Here is a 19,357-nt window from a genome sequence, read left to right as displayed (position 1 = left end):
GGTGGCAATGGGCCGTGATCGTGCGACCCATTGCCCTTAAGCCTAGGCAACAGAGCAAGACCCTGTCTCAAAGTAAAAAAAACAAAGAGATGAAATTAATTTTAATATATTTTACTTAACCCAATGTATTCAAAATATTATATCAACATATAACTCATATGATAAGTACTAATGAGAGACTGTGCGTTCTTTTTACCATAGTGGCTACTGGATTGGGTAGCACTGCTTCAGAGACTTAGATAGGAGAGAGAACCATCGCTGTGATCTCCTACTCAGCTTTTTTCCCTCATAGCACCTGGCATTACCTGAGATTATACTACTTCATGTCCTGTTTACTGTCCCCAGCCGGAAGGTAAGAGAAGCACAGAAGCATCTCTGTCACTGCTATATCCTCAGTGACTGGCCCAAAGTAGGTGCTAGGAGAGATTTGTTTAGTGAGCACTTGGGAAATGGCAGATTGCACACATGCGAATGAGTGGAATTAGTGGGTGAATGACTGATGCACATAAGGGAGCGAGAGCCTAGTTCCACCTGCAGGACACAGTTGAGATGCTGAAGGATGTGGTGGGGAGCATTAGGAGATGCTGTCATGGAGGTGCCTTTTGAGTTCACTCTTGAAAGATAAGAGCTTGGAATAGCAGCAGTGGAGGGCAGGGCGTCCTGGGCGGGAAGTCCAGTGCGCATAAAGGCAAGAGAGGCAGGAAGTTCATTTCAGTGGTTTCAGACTTAGGCCTCAGAACTCCTTTAACTTAAAAATTATTGAGGACCACAATAATTTTTTAGCTTTGTGAGCTTTTATTTGTATGGGTTGTTTCTATTAACATCTACCATTTAAGAAAACAAACTTAAAAACCAAGAATGCCTGGGCATACATTCTATTGGCCATCAGAGCAGTGACGTCATCACACATCATGTAGCCTCTGGAAAATTCCACTGCAGACTTTGGAGAGGATGAGAGGAAAAAAGGCAAATAACGTCTTGGTCTTGTTATAGAAAATTTTTGACTTTGGACCTCCTGAAAGGGTTTCAGGGATCCCTGGGCCATATTTTGAGGACCACTGAGCTAGAGGTGGGGTGGAAGAAGTCAGGTGAGAGAGTGCTGGCAGGCGAGGCTGCACAGGACTGTAAATAACGATAACAACAAAGGTTTGTTGGCACCTGCCGCGTTCTAGGCACAGTCACTGGAGAACCCCGTGAAGTAGGTGTTCTTACTTCACAGAGGAGGAGAGGTTAAGGCAGTGAGCAGAAAGGCTTGGGCTAAAGCCAGGCAAGCGCCTCCAAACCACGCCGTCAGCTGCCCCTGGAAAGGCCACTGGTGTCATGCTTGCTGTGTGTGTGCAGGTCTTTGGATGACTGACTCAGGAGTTGGGATTTGTTTTTTACATAAAGAGGACTTACATCAGAGTTTACAATGGGTGATTTGGCGGCAGTTTACAAGGTGGAATGTGGGGAGCTAGGAAGCCTGGAGGCCAGTTAGGAGGATTTTATGGGGCAGATGAGTTGTGTCCTCTGTGCCCTCGGTGTGCATGGCGTCACCTATGCATGCATGGCGTGGAGTGCTAGAGGTGCTGACTTCTCACACAAAATGACCCGGAAGTGTGAACAAACATCTTCATTCCGTATTCAGTGGAAGAAGCAGTGATCTGTTCCAGTGCAAGAGGAAACACTGGTTATGTTGGTCTTACTGATGGATTTAAGGGATTTTTCAAGGATAATTTTAATGATGTTCAATTTGACTTAGTACCTAACCCCCCAGTAAAATCTGAAATCTATCGAACCTAAGAGAACAGTAATAAAGCTTTCAATTATTAGAGTAGTGAGGTAGAGAGAAAGGTGAGGTGGTTGGAGAAGGTTTCTCAGATGGGGCGCAAAGGTGTGAAGGACGTTTGAGGAATAACAGGTAAAGCATGTGTTTCACAGCCTTGCACGTACAGCTGAGCCGGGGTGTAGTGGGGGAGGTGGGAGACAGAGCAGGAGTAGGGACATTAGTGTGCCAGGGCTTTGAGGTGATCAGAAGAGCGACGAGGAGCCTTTAAGTTTTTCTTTTTTAATTGTAGTAAAATATGCATAACAAAATTTACCATTTTAACCATTTTTAAATAAACAGTTCAGTGCCATTAAGTACATTCCCATTGTTGTGCAACCATCCCCACCATCCACCCCCAGAACTTTTCATCATTCCCCACTGAAACTCTGTCTCAATTAAATAATAACTCCTCAAACCATTAAGTTTTATAGCTTTTAGAAAAACCTTTTCTAAAAGCAGTGGATGTAGACATGTGGTCACCTACCAAAAGGCAGTAAGAAGAGGGAAGCGTGGCAGAGACTCAAGCTTCTCATGAGCATGGCCAGGTGGCTGGTCCTGCCGGTAATAGCAGTGTGGACAGAGGAGTGGGGAGGGAGATTCCGTTTTGAACACATTGCAAATTAGATGCCTGGAGGCATCCAGGCAACGAGAGACACCTCCCTTCGAAGCGTGTATTTAGCCTGTCCCCCATCTTCCTTTAATTCTTATTGCTGTCCTATTTCATAACCTCATAATTGCAGTTTCTAAACAAACATTTTTTAGATTTATAGAACAGTTTCAAAGATCATACAGAAAGTCCTCGTATCCCCTTCACCCAGTTTTCCCTAATGTTCACATCTTACATATCATGATATATATTTGTCGAAAGTAAAAAAATTGACATTGAGCCAGGCACAGTGGCACGTGCCTGTAATCCAAGCTACTCAGGAGGTTGAGGCCAGAGGGAGGATCGCTTGGGTCCAGGAGTTCAAGGCCAGCCTGGGCATTGTGGTGAGACTGCATCTCGCAAAAAAGATATTAACATCAGCCACATACTGTTATCTAAACCATACACTTTTATTTGGATTAGTTTTCTTTTCCAGGATCCAATCCAGGATACTACATTGCATTTAACATAATTGCCTTTTTTTTTCTTTTTCTTTTTTTTTTTTTTTGAGATGGAATCTCGCTCTGTCGCCCAGGCTGGAGTGCAGTGGCATGATCTTGGCTCACTGCAAGCTCCGCCTCCCAGGTTCATGCCATTCTCCTGCCTCAGGCTCCTGAGTAGCTGGGACTACAGGTGCCCGCCACCACGCCCGGCTAATTTTGTGTATTTTTAGTAGAGACGGGGTTTCACCGTGTTAGCCAGGATGGTCTCGATCTCCTGACCTCGTGATCCGCCTGCCTTGGCCTCCCAAAGTGCTGGGATTACCGGAGTGAGCCACTGTGCCCTGCCACCTTTTTTTTTTTTTTTTAAAGATGGAGTCTCACTTTGTTGCCCAGGCTGGAGTACAGTGGTGGGATCTCAGCTCACTGCAACCTCTACCTCCTAGGTTCAGGCGATTCTCCTGCCTCAGCCTCCTGAGCAGCTAGGATTATGGGTGCCCACCACCATGCCAGCTAATTGTTTTGTTGTTGTTGTTTGTTTTGCATTTTTAGTAGAAATGGTTTCAACATGTTGGCCAGGCTGGTCTGGAACTGCTGACCTCAAGTGATCTGCCCACCTTGACCTCTCAAAGGCATGAGCCACTGCACCCAGCCTAGCATAATTGCCTTTTAAATGTTGAAATAAATGCTCCTCGTTGATCTTTCACTAATCCCCATTTTATACTCTGTCCTAAGAGGCGTTACCTTTTTTGAATTTTGTTCAGAAGGAGGGTGCTAGCCAGTGGCTTTTGATGTCAGGGCAAGGGGTCAAGTAGGATGCTTTGTAAAGAGAGGCAGTTTGGGAGTTGTGAGGAACCTTGGATAGCACTTTTGAGTAGAGAGGTGGTGGCTGGACACCAGAGCAGCAGCAGGCGAGGGACAGCGTGCAGGGCAGGGGCCTGGAGGCATCGTCTAGGCTCTCGGGGATTCAGGGTCCAGCAAGGAGGGAAAGTCCCAGGTGTAATAGTCTGTTCTTCAGTCTCTGACAATCCAGCACCGAAGAAAAATTGCTGGAGTCATCCTCTTATTTGCCTTAGATTTATAGCTTTATTCCTGATTGGTCTATTAAGTTATTTATATACTTAATACAAAAGTGCAAGGACATAGGAAAGGTGGGTAAAAAAAAAGTCACCCATAATTCTACCACTCGGGGATAACTTCTCTTTATTATTTCAGTGGATGGCTGTTCTAGTCTTTTATTTGTTAATTAATTAATAAATTAATTAATTTTTGAGATGGAGTTTGCTCTTGTTGCCCAGGCTGGAGTGCAATGGTGCTATCTCGGCTCACTGTAACCTCCGCCTCCCGGGTTCAAGCAATTCTCCTGCCTCAGCCTCCTGAGTAGCTGGGATTACAGGTGCACACCACCATGCCTGGCTAATGTTTTGTATTTTAGTAGAGACAGGCTTTCGCCATGTTGCCCAGGCTAGTCTCATACTCCTGAGCTCAGGTGATCCGCCCGTCTCAGCCTCCCAAAGTGCTAGGATTACAGGCGTGAGCCACCGCACGGGGCCTAACGATGATGAGAATTTGATGTGACATCTGCAGGATCCCCAGCTAGTCAGCAGCATCTAGAGGGCTAGAACTCTGGCCAGCTGACTGGGCCTTTTGCTAACTGTTTTCTGTCCCCTCTGTGCCGGGGTGTCACTGAGCTTTGCGGGACAGGCTGGTCTGTCGTGCCTTCAGCTCAGGGAATGTGGCTCCCGAGCATAGGGCTGGACTGAGAGGCGTTAGGTGAGCCAGAGAAGGCCTCAGACACAGGGCTTAGAGAGGGCATGTAGACCTGTGATTGCTTAGTGTCCATGACTAGAAAAGACAGAATCTTGTAGTTACTGGGGATTGCACGAGATCACCTTCGAGAGGGCTCAGCACAGCACCTGACCAGTGGTCACTGCTGCTGGGGGATAATTTAGCTCTGCGTCTGTTTCCCTGTGTTTCCAAGCCCATGCAGTAAACGGGGGGAATATTGCGAATTAGCTTGTCTGCCTCGTAAGGCCAACCTGAAAACTAAATCTTAATCTTTGTGTGTGTGTGTGTGTGTGTGTGTGTGTGTGTGTGTGTATGTGTGTGTGTGTGTATCTGTATATTTAAACAGATAATATATGCAAATATCACAACATTCAAAAGGTTTAAACAAATATGTAGTGAAATGTTTGTCTCCCTCCTACCATTTTCACTCTCCAGGGATAGCCACTGTGACCAAACTCTATGTGTGTGAGTATACCTTTTTTATATTTTAGCTTTTTACATAAATAGTAGCTTTCTGTACAACTGCTCTGTATTTGGCAGGTCAGAGCTTTGGATTCAGACAAACCTGGATCTGGATCCTGACCTTCCCGTTTGCTTCGTGGTGACTCACAGCTGGCTTGGTGCATCTCATCCCTTAGTGCCTTGCCAGGTGCGTCACCTCCCCTTTCCTCTCCTCATTGTTGTCCTTTGTGCCAGGCTGTTGGGCTAAATCCAGCCTAGTGTGCCACTGCAGGGAGAGCCCAGCTCTGCCATTTTGGGGATAGTGTAGGAATCCATGATCCCTGGATGGGCGCGCCCGAGCCCCTCTATTGGGGCAGGGTTTTCTCAGTAGCCAGAGGTACCACCGATGGAGGTGGAAGGACTATAACAGAGGTATTTGACCCAGAAGACCTTTGTGAGGGCAGAGACAAAGTTGTTTTTTTGTTTGTTTTTTTAAAAAAAAAAAAAAAAAAAAGCTTAAGTGAAAAAGCATTTCCAGAACATCGCAGGTGCCTTTCGACTTCACTCCTGACCTTTGCCATGTCGGAATTGCTTAGTTTGTGTTAGCAGTGTGGGACCACTCTGAGCTCCTTGCAGAAGCCAAGGCAAGACTCTTAAAAGGACTCTCCACAACCCAAAAGCAAACCACGGCCATATAAGGTGGGTTCTGTTGCCTTTCCCCAGGACGAGGAGTCACCCTAATTCATGCTTGGAATCCTTTTTTCTTCATGTGATTCCTGTGAGACATATCTCAGGTAACACAGTTCATGGCAGGACTATTGGCGTGTCCTTTACAGTTTCCAGGAAGACAAATGTGCCCTGTGATTTCCAGGGTAGGACTGTGTTTCCTACGCGTTGGGGTTTCCTTCCTCTCCGTTTCTCCCATAGACCCTTGCCCCTCTCACTTTCCTTTTCTGTGCTGGGAACATCAGAATAAGAAGGAGTTTTCAGCCACCGTGTGCTTATTGCAGGTGGGGTCTTCATCTGAACCTCTGAGATAGGACTGTGTGCTGGGTTTCCATGTATGTCTAGGTCTATAGTGGTAAGACTGGAAGGGATCCTCGGGGTCATTTCGCTGGAGCCCCTTATTTTATAGTCAGGCCCAGAGAGGCTTACGTGGTTAAGTAAGATGGATGGAAGCCACAGACAAAGAAAACAGACTTCTTTCTTAGGAAATAAAAGTCTATAGGAGGACACTCATCTAATTTCTAAGAGTAGAAGATGTTAGGAGGGCTCGTTTTTGTCTTCTGGTGAGTATAGTTTGAGACAAGTTCTGGTATTTGACTTGAAAAATAGAATTGATAGCACAGGATTTACAGGAAACACTGTAGCTGGGCCTGTAGGCGCGCACCGCCACGCCTGGCTAATTTTCATTTCTTTTTAAGTTTTTTGTAGAGTCACCATCTCACTATGTTGCCCAGGCTGGTCTCAAACTCCTTTCCTCAAGCGATCCTCCTACCTTGGCCTCCCAAAGTGCTGGCATTACAGGCCACCGCACTGGCCGAAACCCCATCTCTCTCTCTCTTTTTTTTTTTTCTGAGATGGAGTCTCGCTCTGTCACCCAGGCTGGAATGCAGTGGCGCAATACTCACTCCACCTCCTGGGTTCAAGCGATCGAGACCCCATCTCTTAAAAAAAAAAAGGTTTATTGAGACAATTCACATACCATAAAATTCACCCTTTTAAAGTGTGCAGTTCAAGTGGTTTTTAGTATACTCAAACGGTTGTACGGTCATCACCGCTATCTAATTTTAGAACATTTTCATCACCCTAAAAAGAAACCTCATACCCATTAGGAGTCATACCATATTTCCCTGCACCCCTCCCAACTCCTGGAAGCCATGTTCTGTCTCTGTGGGTTTGCCTATTTTGGACATTTCATATAAATGGAAGCATACTAGATGTGGCCTTCGTGACTGATTTATTTAACGTGATGTTTTCAAGGTTCATCCATGTTGTAGCATGTATCAGTACTTCATTTGTTTTTATTGTTGAATAATATTCTATCATATGGATAGATCACATTTTGTGTATCCATTCATTAGTTGATGGACATTTGTTGTTGTGTCATTTTCACCTTTTGGCTATTCTGAATAATGCTGCTATAAGCATTCAAGTCCACGTTTTTGTGTGAATGTATATTTTCAATTCTCTTGGATATTATACCCAGGAGAGGAGTTGTTGGGTCGTATGGTAGGTAAATCTATGTTTAGCATTTTGAGCAACTGCCAAACTGCTTTCTGAAGCAACTGCACCATTTTACATACCCACCAGCAATGTTGGTGGGTTCCAGTTTCTCCACATGCTCACCAATGCTTGTGACTGTCACTTTGTTTATAGCCATCCTAGTGGGCATGCATGGGTATTGCATTGTGATTTGGCATGCATTCCTAGTGATGAGTGATGCTGAGCATCTTTTCATGTGCTTATTGGCCATGTGTATATCTTCTTTAGATAAATGTTTATTCAAATAAGTCCTGTGCTTATTTTTGAACTGAGTTTTCTGTTGGTCTGCTTATTACACCCTGCATTTGGATCTTCCCTCTCTCCCATGGAGTCTCGCAGGTGGGCTACCTCTTGTGGCAGGTGCCTGTCAGTGTCATTGGGATCTGTGCTAGCCATTTTGCATTATGTTGGGATTTAACCCCCTTTCCTATTTCAGTATGCTTAAGACCCTTAGAAACTGAAAGGGCTTTAAGTCCTAAGTCTTTCCAGGAACACAGATGTAATTGTTTTAAATCTGGGGCTCCACAAGCATCCTAGGATGAGAAAGGGGTTGCTAAATAGGTTTTCTTGGACAGTGGGCAAGCTTTCAAATATTTACCAGTCACATGTACCGTGGCATGCTGGGTATAAGTCTTTCTAAGGCGGAGACCATACAATCTATTTCTTTTGAGTCTCTCTCATAGTACAATTATAGTACTTCTTACACAGTGGGATGATGAAATATTTGTGGATTGACAGGAACATACTTTGATAACTGAGTCCTTTCCGTAGCAGTTTGACGGGTCTAAGACATGGTTGTGCCGAAATGTGCATGAGAGTGTCGGGTGTGTGTGCCTGGCGATAGGGGGCCTTGAGTTTCCAAAGGCTCTTGGCTGCTGCTGCCTCACAGATTCTCCATGCTGTGTGGCTGTCTGCTGAGGGGCACATGTGCTGCTATTTATGTTTGGTGACTTTCTCAGTGATTGTTTTTAGTTTAGCCTTTTAAGAATCTAATCTAATTTTGTGAGTGTGTAAAGTGTGGATTTATCCATGCCTGCTGCGTGACACTGACAGGGAGTGTCTTCCACCCTAAGCCTGGATCAGTTCTGACTGTCATGGTTAGATCACAGCAATCCATGGGACTTAAACTTTCTTTAACATTTGAAACAAAAAGCCATTTGTAGGAGCGGATGTGTGGCCCTTTCAGGTGTCTGGGGGAGTTTCTAATGGAGCTGTTCTTTTTAAAATTTTTTATTCTTAATTTTACTTTTTCATAGAGATGGAGTCTTGGCCCAGGCTGGTCCCAAACTCCTGGTTTCAAGCAGTCCCCCCCGCTGGGCTTCCCAGCTCCTGGGATTACAGGTGTGAGCCACAGTGTCTGGCCCTAATAGTCTTTCTTTTCCCTACCCACTATTTCACATCTCAGAATAGCAACATGAGGAGAGTCCATCAAAATGAATTGGTGAGTAGGTGAATGTCTGAACTAAGGATGGCTAATTTTTGAATTTGTGATTTCCTGGGTTTTGTTGACTTTTTTTTTGAGACAGAGCACCCTGTCGCCCAGGCTGGAGTGCGATCTCGGCTCACTGCAACCTGTGCCTCCCGGATTCAAGCAATTCTCCTGCCTCAGCCTCCCAAGTAGCTGGGATTACAGGCGTGCACCAGCACGCCCAGCTAATTTTTTTTTGTATCTTTAGTAGAGGCGGGATTTCACCATGTTGGCCAGGCTGCTCTTGAGCTCCTGACTGCAAGTGATCTACCCACCTCAGCCTCCCAAAGTGCTGGGATTACAGGCATGAGCCACCGTGGCCGGCTTTTGTTGACTTATTACTTCTCCTTCATCTTCAGATCTAGTTGTATATAAGTACTTTGCAAAACAAAGATTAAAAACCTCCGGTTGCCTCTTTTTTGGCTGGAACCATGGAGGGTGTCGAAGAGAAGCAGCAGCTTCCTGTTGTGCCAGAAACCCTTGGGAAAAAGCAAAGGAATTTCACAGAACTAAAGATCAAGCACCTGAATAAGAAGTTTGCCCAAAAGATGCTTCAAAAGGCAGGGAGGAAACTTATGCACGAAGAAGTGAAGCACTACCACAAGGAATCTAGGCAGATGTACAGAACTGAAATTTGAAAGGCTAGGATGGCAAGAAAAGCTGGCAACTTTTTTGTGCCTGCAGAACCCGAATTGGCATTTGTCATCAGGGTCAGAGGTATCAGTGGTGTGAGCCCAAAGGGCCAAAAGATGTTGCAGCTTCTTTGCCTTTGTCAGATCTTTAATGGAACCTTTGTGAAGTTCAGCAGACCTTCAGTTAACATGCTGAGGATTGTGAAACCATGTATTACAAGGGGAACCCAAATCTGAAATCAGTAAATAAACTCATCTACAAGCATGGCCGTGGCAAAATCAATAAGAAGCGAATTGCTTTGACAGATAACACTTTGATTGATCAGTCTCATGGTCAATATGGCATCATCTGCATCGAGGATCTGATTCATGAGCTCTATACTGTGGCCCTTCAAGTTATCCTCTCCACAAAGTGGAATGAAGAAAAAGACCACCCATTTTGTAGAAAATGGAGCTGCTGCCAACAGGGAGGGCCAGATCCACAGGCTTCTTAGAAGAATGAACTGCGGTGTCTACCGTGATTATTTTTCTAATCTGGTCAGTTAATAAATAGTACCTGCTCTCAAATTGAAAAAAAAAATCTTCGGTTAGCATACTTTAGGTAAACATGGTAGATTGAACATATTCATTTAAATCTACTTCCCCTAGAAACTCTGCTAAAATAACAGCAAAATAATTGTTTTTAGATGTATAAACCCACAAGGACACAGAATGGGAGAGAAAACAATAACAAAAGATCTCCAATTTCTAGAAGGTGGAAGGCAAACAGAAGACTGAGCAGAGCAGAGGCTGAAATGTTGGTACCTGCGGAAAAACACCAAGGAAAAGCACTTTAGAAAGCATCAGGAATTGGAGGCAATTGGTGGCACTCAAGGTGGGAATAAGGTTTGGGCCTAAAAGCAGAGGGATTATGATTAGTTGACAGTCTGTATAGGGAGGGATGAAACTTCCCAAGTCATCTCTTTGAATTCTGCAAACCAGAAAATACTCAATCCCCTTTGCTGGCGAGTGAGAGAGCAGAGGCTTATGCACCAGATTGAGGTACCTTGGGCAGAGCAAGGGGCAGGGTAACGCTGGACTGAAAGAGGGATTCATGAACGTCTGCACACTAAAAGAGCAAATCCCAGCCATGCCCCTGCCTGCTCCTGGAGTGCTGAGGCCAGGCATGAGGCATGGCATTGGATTCCAGTCTGGAAAAAATGAGCATGTCAGCAACAAGACCTGCCATTGCCAGTATGTAGTGGCTCCTCACAGCAGTGGCCAGCTTTCTACTCCATCTAATGTGGTCCTCACCTGTCCAGAGCCTTGCTTATGTTCACAGGGTTTCTATCATCTTTTTATCACCTCAACTTTTTTAACTTTTTTTTTTTTTTTTTTTTTTTGAGACAGAGTCTCACTCTGTCACCCAGGCTGGAGTACAGTGGTGTAATCTTGGCTCACTGCAACCTCTGCCTCCCAGGCTGAAGCACTTCTCCCACCTCAGCCTCCCAAGTAGCTGGGATTACAGCCATGCGCCACCACTCCTGGCTAATTTGTGTGTTTTTTGTCAAGATGGGGTTTTGCCATGTTGCCTAGGCAGGTTTCAAACTCCTGAGCTCAAGTGATCTGCCCACCTCAGCCTCACAAAGTGCTGGGATCACAGGCATGAGCCACCATCCCCAGCCCAACTTTTTATTTTGAAATAATTATAGATGCATAGGAAGTTGCAAACATAGTAGAGGGCTGGCTGGACGCGGTGGCTCATGCCTGTAATCCCAGCACTTTGGGAGGCCGAGGCGGGCAGATCACGAGGTCAGGAGTTCGAGACCAGCCTGGCCAACATGGTTAAACCCCGTCTCTACTAAAAATACAAAAATTAGCCGGGCATGGTGGCATGCGCCCGTAATCCCAGCTACTCGGGAGGCTGAGGCAGGAGAATTGCTTGAACCCAGGAGGCAGAGGTTGCAGTGAACCAAGATCATGCCACTGCACTCCAGCCTGGGCGACAGAGCAAGACTCCATCTCAAAAAAAAAAAAAAAAATAGTAGAGGGGTCCCCTCTACCCTTCATGCAGTTTCCCTTGATGGTCATGTCTTATATAATCACAGACAATATGAAAATCAGGGAATTGACATGGGTACACAATATGTGCATACAGTTTCACACCCTTTATCACATCTGTGGATTCATGTAACCACATGTAACAGCAGTCAAGATACACAACTCTTCCATCACCACAAAGATCTCTTATTGCCTCACTTTTAAATAGGAATGGATGCCAAGAATAACTGGATATGTTCAGAAAGCTTCCAGTATGGAAGGTAGAGGCCAGAGAAAGCAAAGAGAAAAATGTATCTCCGAGGAATCAGAGCTGATTCAGGTAGGAGAAAGCCTTAAAGCACATGGCAAATATACTCAGAAAGAAGAGCCAATATTTTATCCATGAAATAAAAAGTTACTATAAAAATCAGAACAAGAAAGAGTTCTCGGAAATTAAAACCATTACTTTTTCTTTGAAGTTGACGAAGGCTCCCAGGAAACAGATTAAAAACGTCTGACATCTAGGAAGTCTATAAAGAGAGAAAGGGAAAATTAAGGACCATAATGTATCAGAGAAACAAGAATTATTTCAGAATGGACAGTCATAAGTTTCAAAAATGGTAAATGGAAAATGTCCTGTGGCACATTGTGTGATTCCAGAGCACTGGGCATAAAGCTTCCGAAGAGCAAAAACGGGTCACATACAAAAGACTGGGAATGAAGATGGATTGGATTTTTCAACCTCATTGGAAGCCAGAAGACAATGGGGTGGATTTCCTGTTTCAGTGACATGGTAGCTTGAGCTAAAGTTAGAACCGCTCCCATTACAATCACTTAAAATGCTATATAAGCTATAACAACAGAATAAGAAAGAAAAACAGAGAACCGAAAGCAAAGCAGGAATATAAAGCCAGAGCAGAGTAGGCAGCTCTGGGGAGGGGCAAGGTGGGTTCATTGGACCCTGAAATCGACCCTAACAATAATAGAGGTTTGGATTTGCATGAACACGTGAAGCATGGAGTTGAAACAGAAATCCCCTCAAAAGAGCCATTCCCAGGTAAAAGGGATGCAAGAAAATTTCCCCCATGGGATCAGAGAAATGTCAAGGGAGCTGATCATTGCCCCACACTCTGGATTGTGTTGGAGGAAGTCTTCTGTGAACAGTGGAAAACATCCAAGTTCTAAGTCTGTGTTTATAACATCTACATGTTGCAGGAATGCCCGAGCTGGCACCAGACCAGCCAGCAGACTGGCGATACCCCTGAAGCTTCTTGCTTGCAGAACAAAGGCAGAACTTTTCTAGAGTGACCCTTGCACAGTACAGGCCTTTTGGAATCCTAGGATGCCCACAGATGATGAGCTTGTTCTAGGAAATTACCAAGCATGTAGAAATTAGAACATGAGTCAGCGATCACAACAAACACAAGATTCTCAACATGAGAATTCAAATAATAGAAGAGATTATAATAGAAATGTCTAAAGTGATTGAAGGGCTAAAAGAAGAAATAGATGTCAAAGGAAAGAATAAGACAGAATACATCTTAAAAGGGATTATTTTTTAAAGAATCAAATAAAGCCTCTAGAGTGAAAACATTGAGTTAAAACCCCAGTGGAAATGTTAAACAGCAAATAGCATAAATTCTCAAGAGAGAACTATGGGAACTGGAAAACAGATCTGCAGAAGTTAGTTAGAATTCTGCAGAGATAAAAGAGATGCTTGTGAGGAAGAGACATTACAAACATGGATGGTGGTATGAGGGCCCAGTGGGAAAAATAGCATCCTAAAGGCAGCTTGAGAAGAAAGGCAGATTACTCCCCAGGTTCAACAGTGAAACTCAGGAAATGCCAAGTAGCAACAGTAGAGGCCATAAGGAAGTAAAATCTTCAGTGTGCTAAGGAAAATCAGTTGTTGGCTTAGTTTTCAGCAACCAGCTTAAATTATCGTTCAATAATGGGAACAAATAAGGACATTTTCACAGAAAAAAAAAAAAGTTGTATTTACTAAGAGACCTTCGCTGTACTTCGGGAAGAAGGAAGTAAGGAGAAAGGAGAAATGCGGACAGTAATGGTATCCAGAGGCGTTGGGAAGTGCAGGTAAATCTGAATAAGCATTCGCTTCTGAAAGTGATCGTCACTAATTTGGAGAGGATTAAAAACCAAAGTCCCAACAAAAAATGGAAATCAGTGAGGGGGTGATTTGAATGAACACACTCTTAAGTTCTTTGAACTGTTTGGGAAGTGTAGGAGGGATATTGATTGACTTCAAACTTTCTGAGTCAAGTAGACATGTTCCAATTTTAAGGGTAACCACCAAAAGAATAGAAATAGTGTTTAAAGCTTTCAAACTCACAGAGGGTAAAAATATGGAATTTTAAAACTAGGTCATTTGTCTAAAAGAAAGAGAGCAAAGAAAAAATATGGTAGCCAGAAAGCCCTAAAGGTAGTAGAAATAAATCCACATGGATCACAATGAAAGTAAACAATTATATGTGCCAGTTAAGACAGGTACTCAGACTGGAAGACAGCAGAGCAAATCCTGCAACATTCTGAGAGAATTCCGTATCCAGCCCAACTACGTCAAGTAGAGTAGAAAAAAGTTCTTTTGGCTGGGCATGGTGGTTCACGCCTGTAATCCCAGCACTTTGGGAAGCCAAGACAGGAGGATCGCTTGAGCCCCGTTCGAGACCAGCCTGGGAAACATGGCAAAACCCTGTCTCTACAAAAAAATACAAAAATTAGCCAAGTGTGGTGTTGTGCATCTGTAGTCCCAGCTACTCAGGAGGCTGAAGTAAGAGGATCATTTGAGCCCAGGAGGTTGAGGCTGCAGTGAACCATGATCACACCACTACACTCCAGCCTAGGTGACAGAGTGAGACCCTCCTTTTAGGCATGTAAGGGCTGGAAAAAAAGTGCCTCCTGTGAACCTCTTGTGGGGAGGAGATAGAAGGAGTTGTTCTTCACCAAAACCAGGGACTTTTCCCAGGATCCAGGAAACGGGATCTGACACAGGTGAGCGGCAGAGGAAAGTCTGAGTTAGAGAGACAGGATGGAATTCTGCAGGAGGGAGAGAGATCGACAAGAAAAAGACACAAAGCCCAAAGATACCTGATCGATAATTTGTAGGTAATTTGAAGATATTTAGAAAAGTTATGGATAGGTATTTGACAAAAGTATCAATATGTACATAGTTGTGTGAGGACACGGAACACCACTTGGTTCAGCTGTGAGCTCTGTCCTCCATCATAACACATTTAGATTTTTCAATTAATGCAGTGGAACTGTTGAAAGGATGGAGTACAGGCAAAGGGCTTCAGAGGGGAGGGTAAGAGTTAGGTCATCAGGTACCAAAACAGGACGTCAATAGATAATGTCTATAATAAGTTAGGAATTAGGGTGCAAGCATGTTGTTTATATGTATGGAGGTAAATATTCAAACAGCTAAAAAATTAAAAAGTATTTGCTTCAAAAGAGCACAGTTGAGAGGGTAAGATGGGGGACTGCCTGTTTTTGTTAAGCCTTTTAGTACTATGTTTTTTTTTTAACTTAGGCATGCATTGTTTTGATACAATTAAGCTAAACTATTATTTAAAAAAATACAATATGAGCCAAGTAGGTCCTTTAAAATTTTTTAGTGACCACATTTTTTTCTTTTACTTTTTTTTTTTTTTTTTTTTTTTTTGTCGAAAGGACCTTGAGAAGTGACCACATTTTAAAAACATTAAAAGAAACAGGTGAACCGGGTGCGGTGGCTCACGCCTGTAATCCCAGCACTTCAGGAGGCCCAGACGGGTGGATCACGAGGTCAGGAGATCGAGACCATCCTGGCTAACATGGTCAAATCCCGTCTCTACTAAAAATACAAAAAAGTTAGCTGGGCGTGGTGGCGGGTGCCTGTAGTCCCAGCTACTCGGGAGGCTGAGGCAGGAGAATGGCATGAACCTGGGAGGCGGAGCTTGCAGTGAGCTGAGATCGCGCCACTGCACTCCAGCCTGGGTGACAGGGTGAGGGCGAGACTCTGTCTCAAAAAAAAAAAATAAAAAATAAAAAAAAAAAAAGAAACAGGTGAAATTAATTTTGGAGGTAGAGGTGGATGGAGTCTTGCTCTGTTGCCCGGGCTGGAGTGCAGTGGCTCGATCATAGCTCATTGTAACCTCAAACACCTGGCTTAAGGGATCCTGCTGCCATTTTTTTATGTAGAGATAGGGTCTTACTCTGTTGCCCAGGCTGGTCTTGAACTCCTGGCCTCAAGCAATCCTCCCACCTTGGCTTCCCAAAGTGCTGGAATTACAGACATGAGCCACCTCACTCAGCCAGAAATTAATTTTAATGTTTTATTTAACTCAGTATATATCCAAGATACCATTTCAGAATGTAACGAATATAAAAAATACTAGTGGGCTGGGCACGGTGGTTCACGCCTGTAATCCCAGCACTTTGGGAGGCTGAGGTGGGCGAATCACGTGAGGTCAGGAGTTCGAGACCAGCCTGGCCAATATGGTGAAACCCTGTCTCTACAAAAATACAAAAAATTAGCAGAGTGTGGTGGCTCACACTTGTAATCCCAGCTACTGGGGAGGCTGAGACAGGAGAATCGCTTGAACCTGGGAGACAGAGGTTGCAGTGAGCCTAGGTTGTGCCATTGCACTCCAGGCTGGGCAACAAAAGTTAAATTCTGTCTCAAAAAAAAAAAAAAAAAAGGCCGGGCGCGGTGGCTCACGCCTGTAATCCCAGCACTTTGGGAGGCCGAGACGGACGGATCACAAGGTCAGGAGATCGAGACCATCCTGGCTAACATGGTGAAACCCCGTCTCTACTAAAAATACAAAAAAATTAGCTGGGCATGGTGGCGGGGGCCTGTAGTCCCAGCTACTCAGGAGGCTGAGGCAGGAGAACGGCGTGAACTTGGGAGGTGGAGCTTGCAGTGAGCCAAGATCGCGCCGCTGCACTAGCACTACAGCCTGGGTGACAGAGCGAGACTCCGTCTCAAAAAAAAAAAAAAAAAAAAAAAGAACCCAACCTGGAAGTAGCTGAGAGCCACCTGGTGTGAAGAGAGGAAGTCTCCTCTCCTGTGTTCTGGTTCCTTTGCGGACACTGTGCCGTAGGCCACCTCTATCAATTATGTCCTGGGCCTGAATCTTCAGGCTCTCCCTTGGCAGCTTCCTGCCTGACCTTATTTTTTATTTATTTATTTATTTATTTATTTATTTATTTTGAGATGGAGTGTCCCTCTGTCACCCAGGCTGGAGTGCAGTGTTGTGATCTCGGCTCACTGCAAGCTCCGCCTCCCAGGTTCAAGCGATTTTCCTGCCTCAGCCCCCCAAGTAGCTGGGACTATAGGTACGTGCCACCATGCCTGGCTAATTTTTTGTATTTTTAGTAGAGACTGGGTTTCACCATGTTAGCCAGGATGGTCTTGATCTTCTGACCTCATGATCCTCCCACCTCGGCCTCCCGAAGTGCTGGGATTACAGGCATGAGCCACCACGCCGGGCCCTCATTTTTATTTTTACTGTATTTATTTTTTAGAGATAGGGTCTTACTCTTGTCACCCAGGCTGGAGTGCATTGGCACAATCAGGGCTCACTGCAGCGTCGAATTCCTGGGCTTAAGCAATCCTCCCACCTCAGCCTCTTGAGTAGCTGGGGCTCCAGGTGCGTACCACCGTGCCCAGCTTGACCCCATTTTTAATGTCTTGAAAAGAGACCCTTCCTCAGCCCACATCCACCCCCTCACCTACCTCTTCCTCCTTTTCCTGCTCTTCAGCCGTAGTTCCTGAATGAGCTCCATGCTGTGATTCCTGTTTCCTGCATTGCCAGATGTTCTCCAGGCCCCGCCATTGGGGATTCTGCCCACGCCACCCATTGGGACTGCTGAGCCCAGGTCAGCAGGGACACTTCCCCGTGGCACTGGATCTCTCAGCAGCATCAGGCATTGCTAGCCACTCCTTTCTTGACACTTGTTCCCAATTCCCATGGCTTTTCCTTCAGCTGTCTCTAGTGACTCCTCAGAGGCACCCTTCTGTGTTCCAGGCACTTGCTGGGGTGCACTGGTGCCCAGTGCCTGCCCTTGTGTGGTTCACATTCTAACCCCCATGGGGCACACAGACTGCAGGTGTGGGAACAGTAAGTGCTGTGAAGAAAAATAAAGCAGGTGGATAGAGAATGAGGAGGAGCAATTCCAGACAGGGTGGCCAGAGAAGCCCTTCTGAGGAGGTGACATCTGAGCAGAAACTTGGGTGCAGCTATCTGGGGGAACATTTGAGCCATGGCTGTTCCCTGTGGTGGCCACACCTCCCCAAGCCTGGCGTGCCTCGGCTTCATTGCAGATGGAACCTCCGTCCTGCTCGGACACCTGCAGGACTGTCTCGTGTTCCAGATGTTTCATTGGCATCTGGCACAGCGTCTGCCCACCCAGTGGTTATTCAGTTTGCTGAATGGGCGAGGGAACAACTGAATGGATGGTCTACAGCATATGATGAACGGGAGGAAGAGGCCACTGGGTGCCCAGACCTTATGACAGAGCAGGTTGTGTCTGTGTCAAGCCCTTGCTGGAGGAGAGATGGGACTTGAGCTCAGCCTGGGAAAAGCCAGGTTAAAGTGAGCCGCCCTTTGCCCATGCCCTCTCCCCGTGTTGTTCATTTAGGTCGTGCTTCCACACATCATCTTCCCTTTCAGGACCACTCAGGCTGTGAATGAGTGGAGTGACTGAAATAGTTGGGAGCCATTGAGGAAAAGCCGGAGAGAGAGGCCACGAGAACTAGCATTTTGGGGTTACTTAGCACACGTCCCATTACTTATCACACATAGAGGTCTCAAAAACATCACCACAGGCCTGCCTGACCCTCCTGTGGCTTGGTTGTCCCTTAAAGGAAGGACACAGCAGATCCTTTGAGACATCTCCATCTTCCCATTTTCCTCCACCTGGGATTTGTGGTCCTTGAGCACTCTGGATGCAGATCCATTGGAGAGGGGATGGGTCCTCAGATGCAGTCTGGTGGCGTCATCTTGTCTTTTCCAGACTCCTGGCCAGCGACTTGTTGACTTCCTCCTGGGACCCAGTGACTGAGGGAAATAGAGCCAGCCAGGATGGGAGAAATGGGAAGCACGTGGCATTTACTCCATGAAAGAAAGGCCACAAGCCCTTCTCAGCCAGCAGTCCCAAGGCATCAGTTACCAGTTGTAATGGATCTCAAATGGTGCTAATTACTCCATCCCTGGGAAAATAGAAAATAGTCACTCAGGGCCGGGCGTGGTGGCTCACGCCTGTAATCCTAGCACCTTGGGAGGCCAAGGTGGGCGGATCACCTGAGGTCGGAAGTTCAAGACCAGCCTGACCAACATGGAGAAACCCCATCTCTACTAAAAATACAAAATTAGTTGGGCGTGGTGGCACATGCCTGTAATCCCAGCTACTTGTGAGGCTGAGGCAGGACAATCGCTTGAACCGGGGAAGCAGGCTATGGTGTGCCGAGATCACGCCATTGCACTCCAGCCTGGGCAACAAGAGCGAAACTCCGTCTCAAAAAAAAAAAGACAAAAGAAAATAGTCACTCAAATTATGTTCCATGCTCTAGTGTCTTTAATGTGGGTGACTCCAGTGTTTCAGTATCTGGAAGAATGGTGACCATGTGGTGTCAGCCATGAGCGCTGACAGCAGGCCGTCACTTCTTTCTGCAGTGTTTCCCTACGGTTGGGCTCAGCTCTAGGGAGCTCACTGTAGCTGTGAGTTTCCCATTTCCTGTCAGAGGAGCAACGGCCTTTTGGAGCGAAGTCTGCAGTACTGATGGACTGCACCCACTTAGCAAATGGGTGGTGCTGAGTCCTGTTCACTTTCCCATCCATGCCTTTTACC

General features: G+C 45.5%; 1 protein-coding gene and 1 pseudogene across 8 annotated transcripts in view, besides 4 other annotated features; both read left to right on the top strand.

The window, feature by feature from the left end:
- The window catches only part of UBE2O (ubiquitin conjugating enzyme E2 O), a 63,697-nt gene that overhangs the window by 12,742 nt on the left and 31,598 nt on the right, over positions 1 to 19,357 (top strand). The window lies entirely within an intron of this gene.
- Positions 3,183 to 3,684: an enhancer, noted in NCBI's record as "H3K4me1 hESC enhancer chr17:74432809-74433310 (GRCh37/hg19 assembly coordinates)". NCBI's record gives its function as "activates a minimal SCP1, AML or CMV promoter by ChIP-STARR-seq in naive H9 embryonic stem cells {active_cell/tissue: H9 hESC(naive)}" and the evidence as "EXISTENCE:reporter gene assay evidence [ECO:0000049][PMID:30033119]".
- Positions 6,050 to 6,550: an enhancer, noted in NCBI's record as "H3K4me1 hESC enhancer chr17:74429943-74430443 (GRCh37/hg19 assembly coordinates)". NCBI's record gives its function as "activates a minimal SCP1, AML or CMV promoter by ChIP-STARR-seq in primed H9 embryonic stem cells {active_cell/tissue: H9 hESC(primed)}" and the evidence as "EXISTENCE:reporter gene assay evidence [ECO:0000049][PMID:30033119]".
- Positions 9,267 to 10,060, top strand: RPL7P49 (ribosomal protein L7 pseudogene 49; annotated as a pseudogene).
- Positions 16,875 to 17,374: an enhancer, noted in NCBI's record as "H3K4me1 hESC enhancer chr17:74419119-74419618 (GRCh37/hg19 assembly coordinates)". NCBI's record gives its function as "activates a minimal SCP1, AML or CMV promoter by ChIP-STARR-seq in naive H9 embryonic stem cells {active_cell/tissue: H9 hESC(naive)}" and the evidence as "EXISTENCE:reporter gene assay evidence [ECO:0000049][PMID:30033119]".
- Positions 17,375 to 17,876: an enhancer, noted in NCBI's record as "H3K4me1 hESC enhancer chr17:74418617-74419118 (GRCh37/hg19 assembly coordinates)". NCBI's record gives its function as "activates a minimal SCP1, AML or CMV promoter by ChIP-STARR-seq in naive H9 embryonic stem cells {active_cell/tissue: H9 hESC(naive)}" and the evidence as "EXISTENCE:reporter gene assay evidence [ECO:0000049][PMID:30033119]".

Source organism: Homo sapiens, chromosome 17 (assembly GCF_000001405.40).
Source record: "Homo sapiens chromosome 17, GRCh38.p14 Primary Assembly".
NCBI lineage: Eukaryota > Metazoa > Chordata > Mammalia > Primates > Hominidae > Homo > Homo sapiens.
The sequence above is the reverse complement of the archived record's forward strand: the minus strand, read 5'-3'. Positions and strand labels throughout refer to the sequence as shown.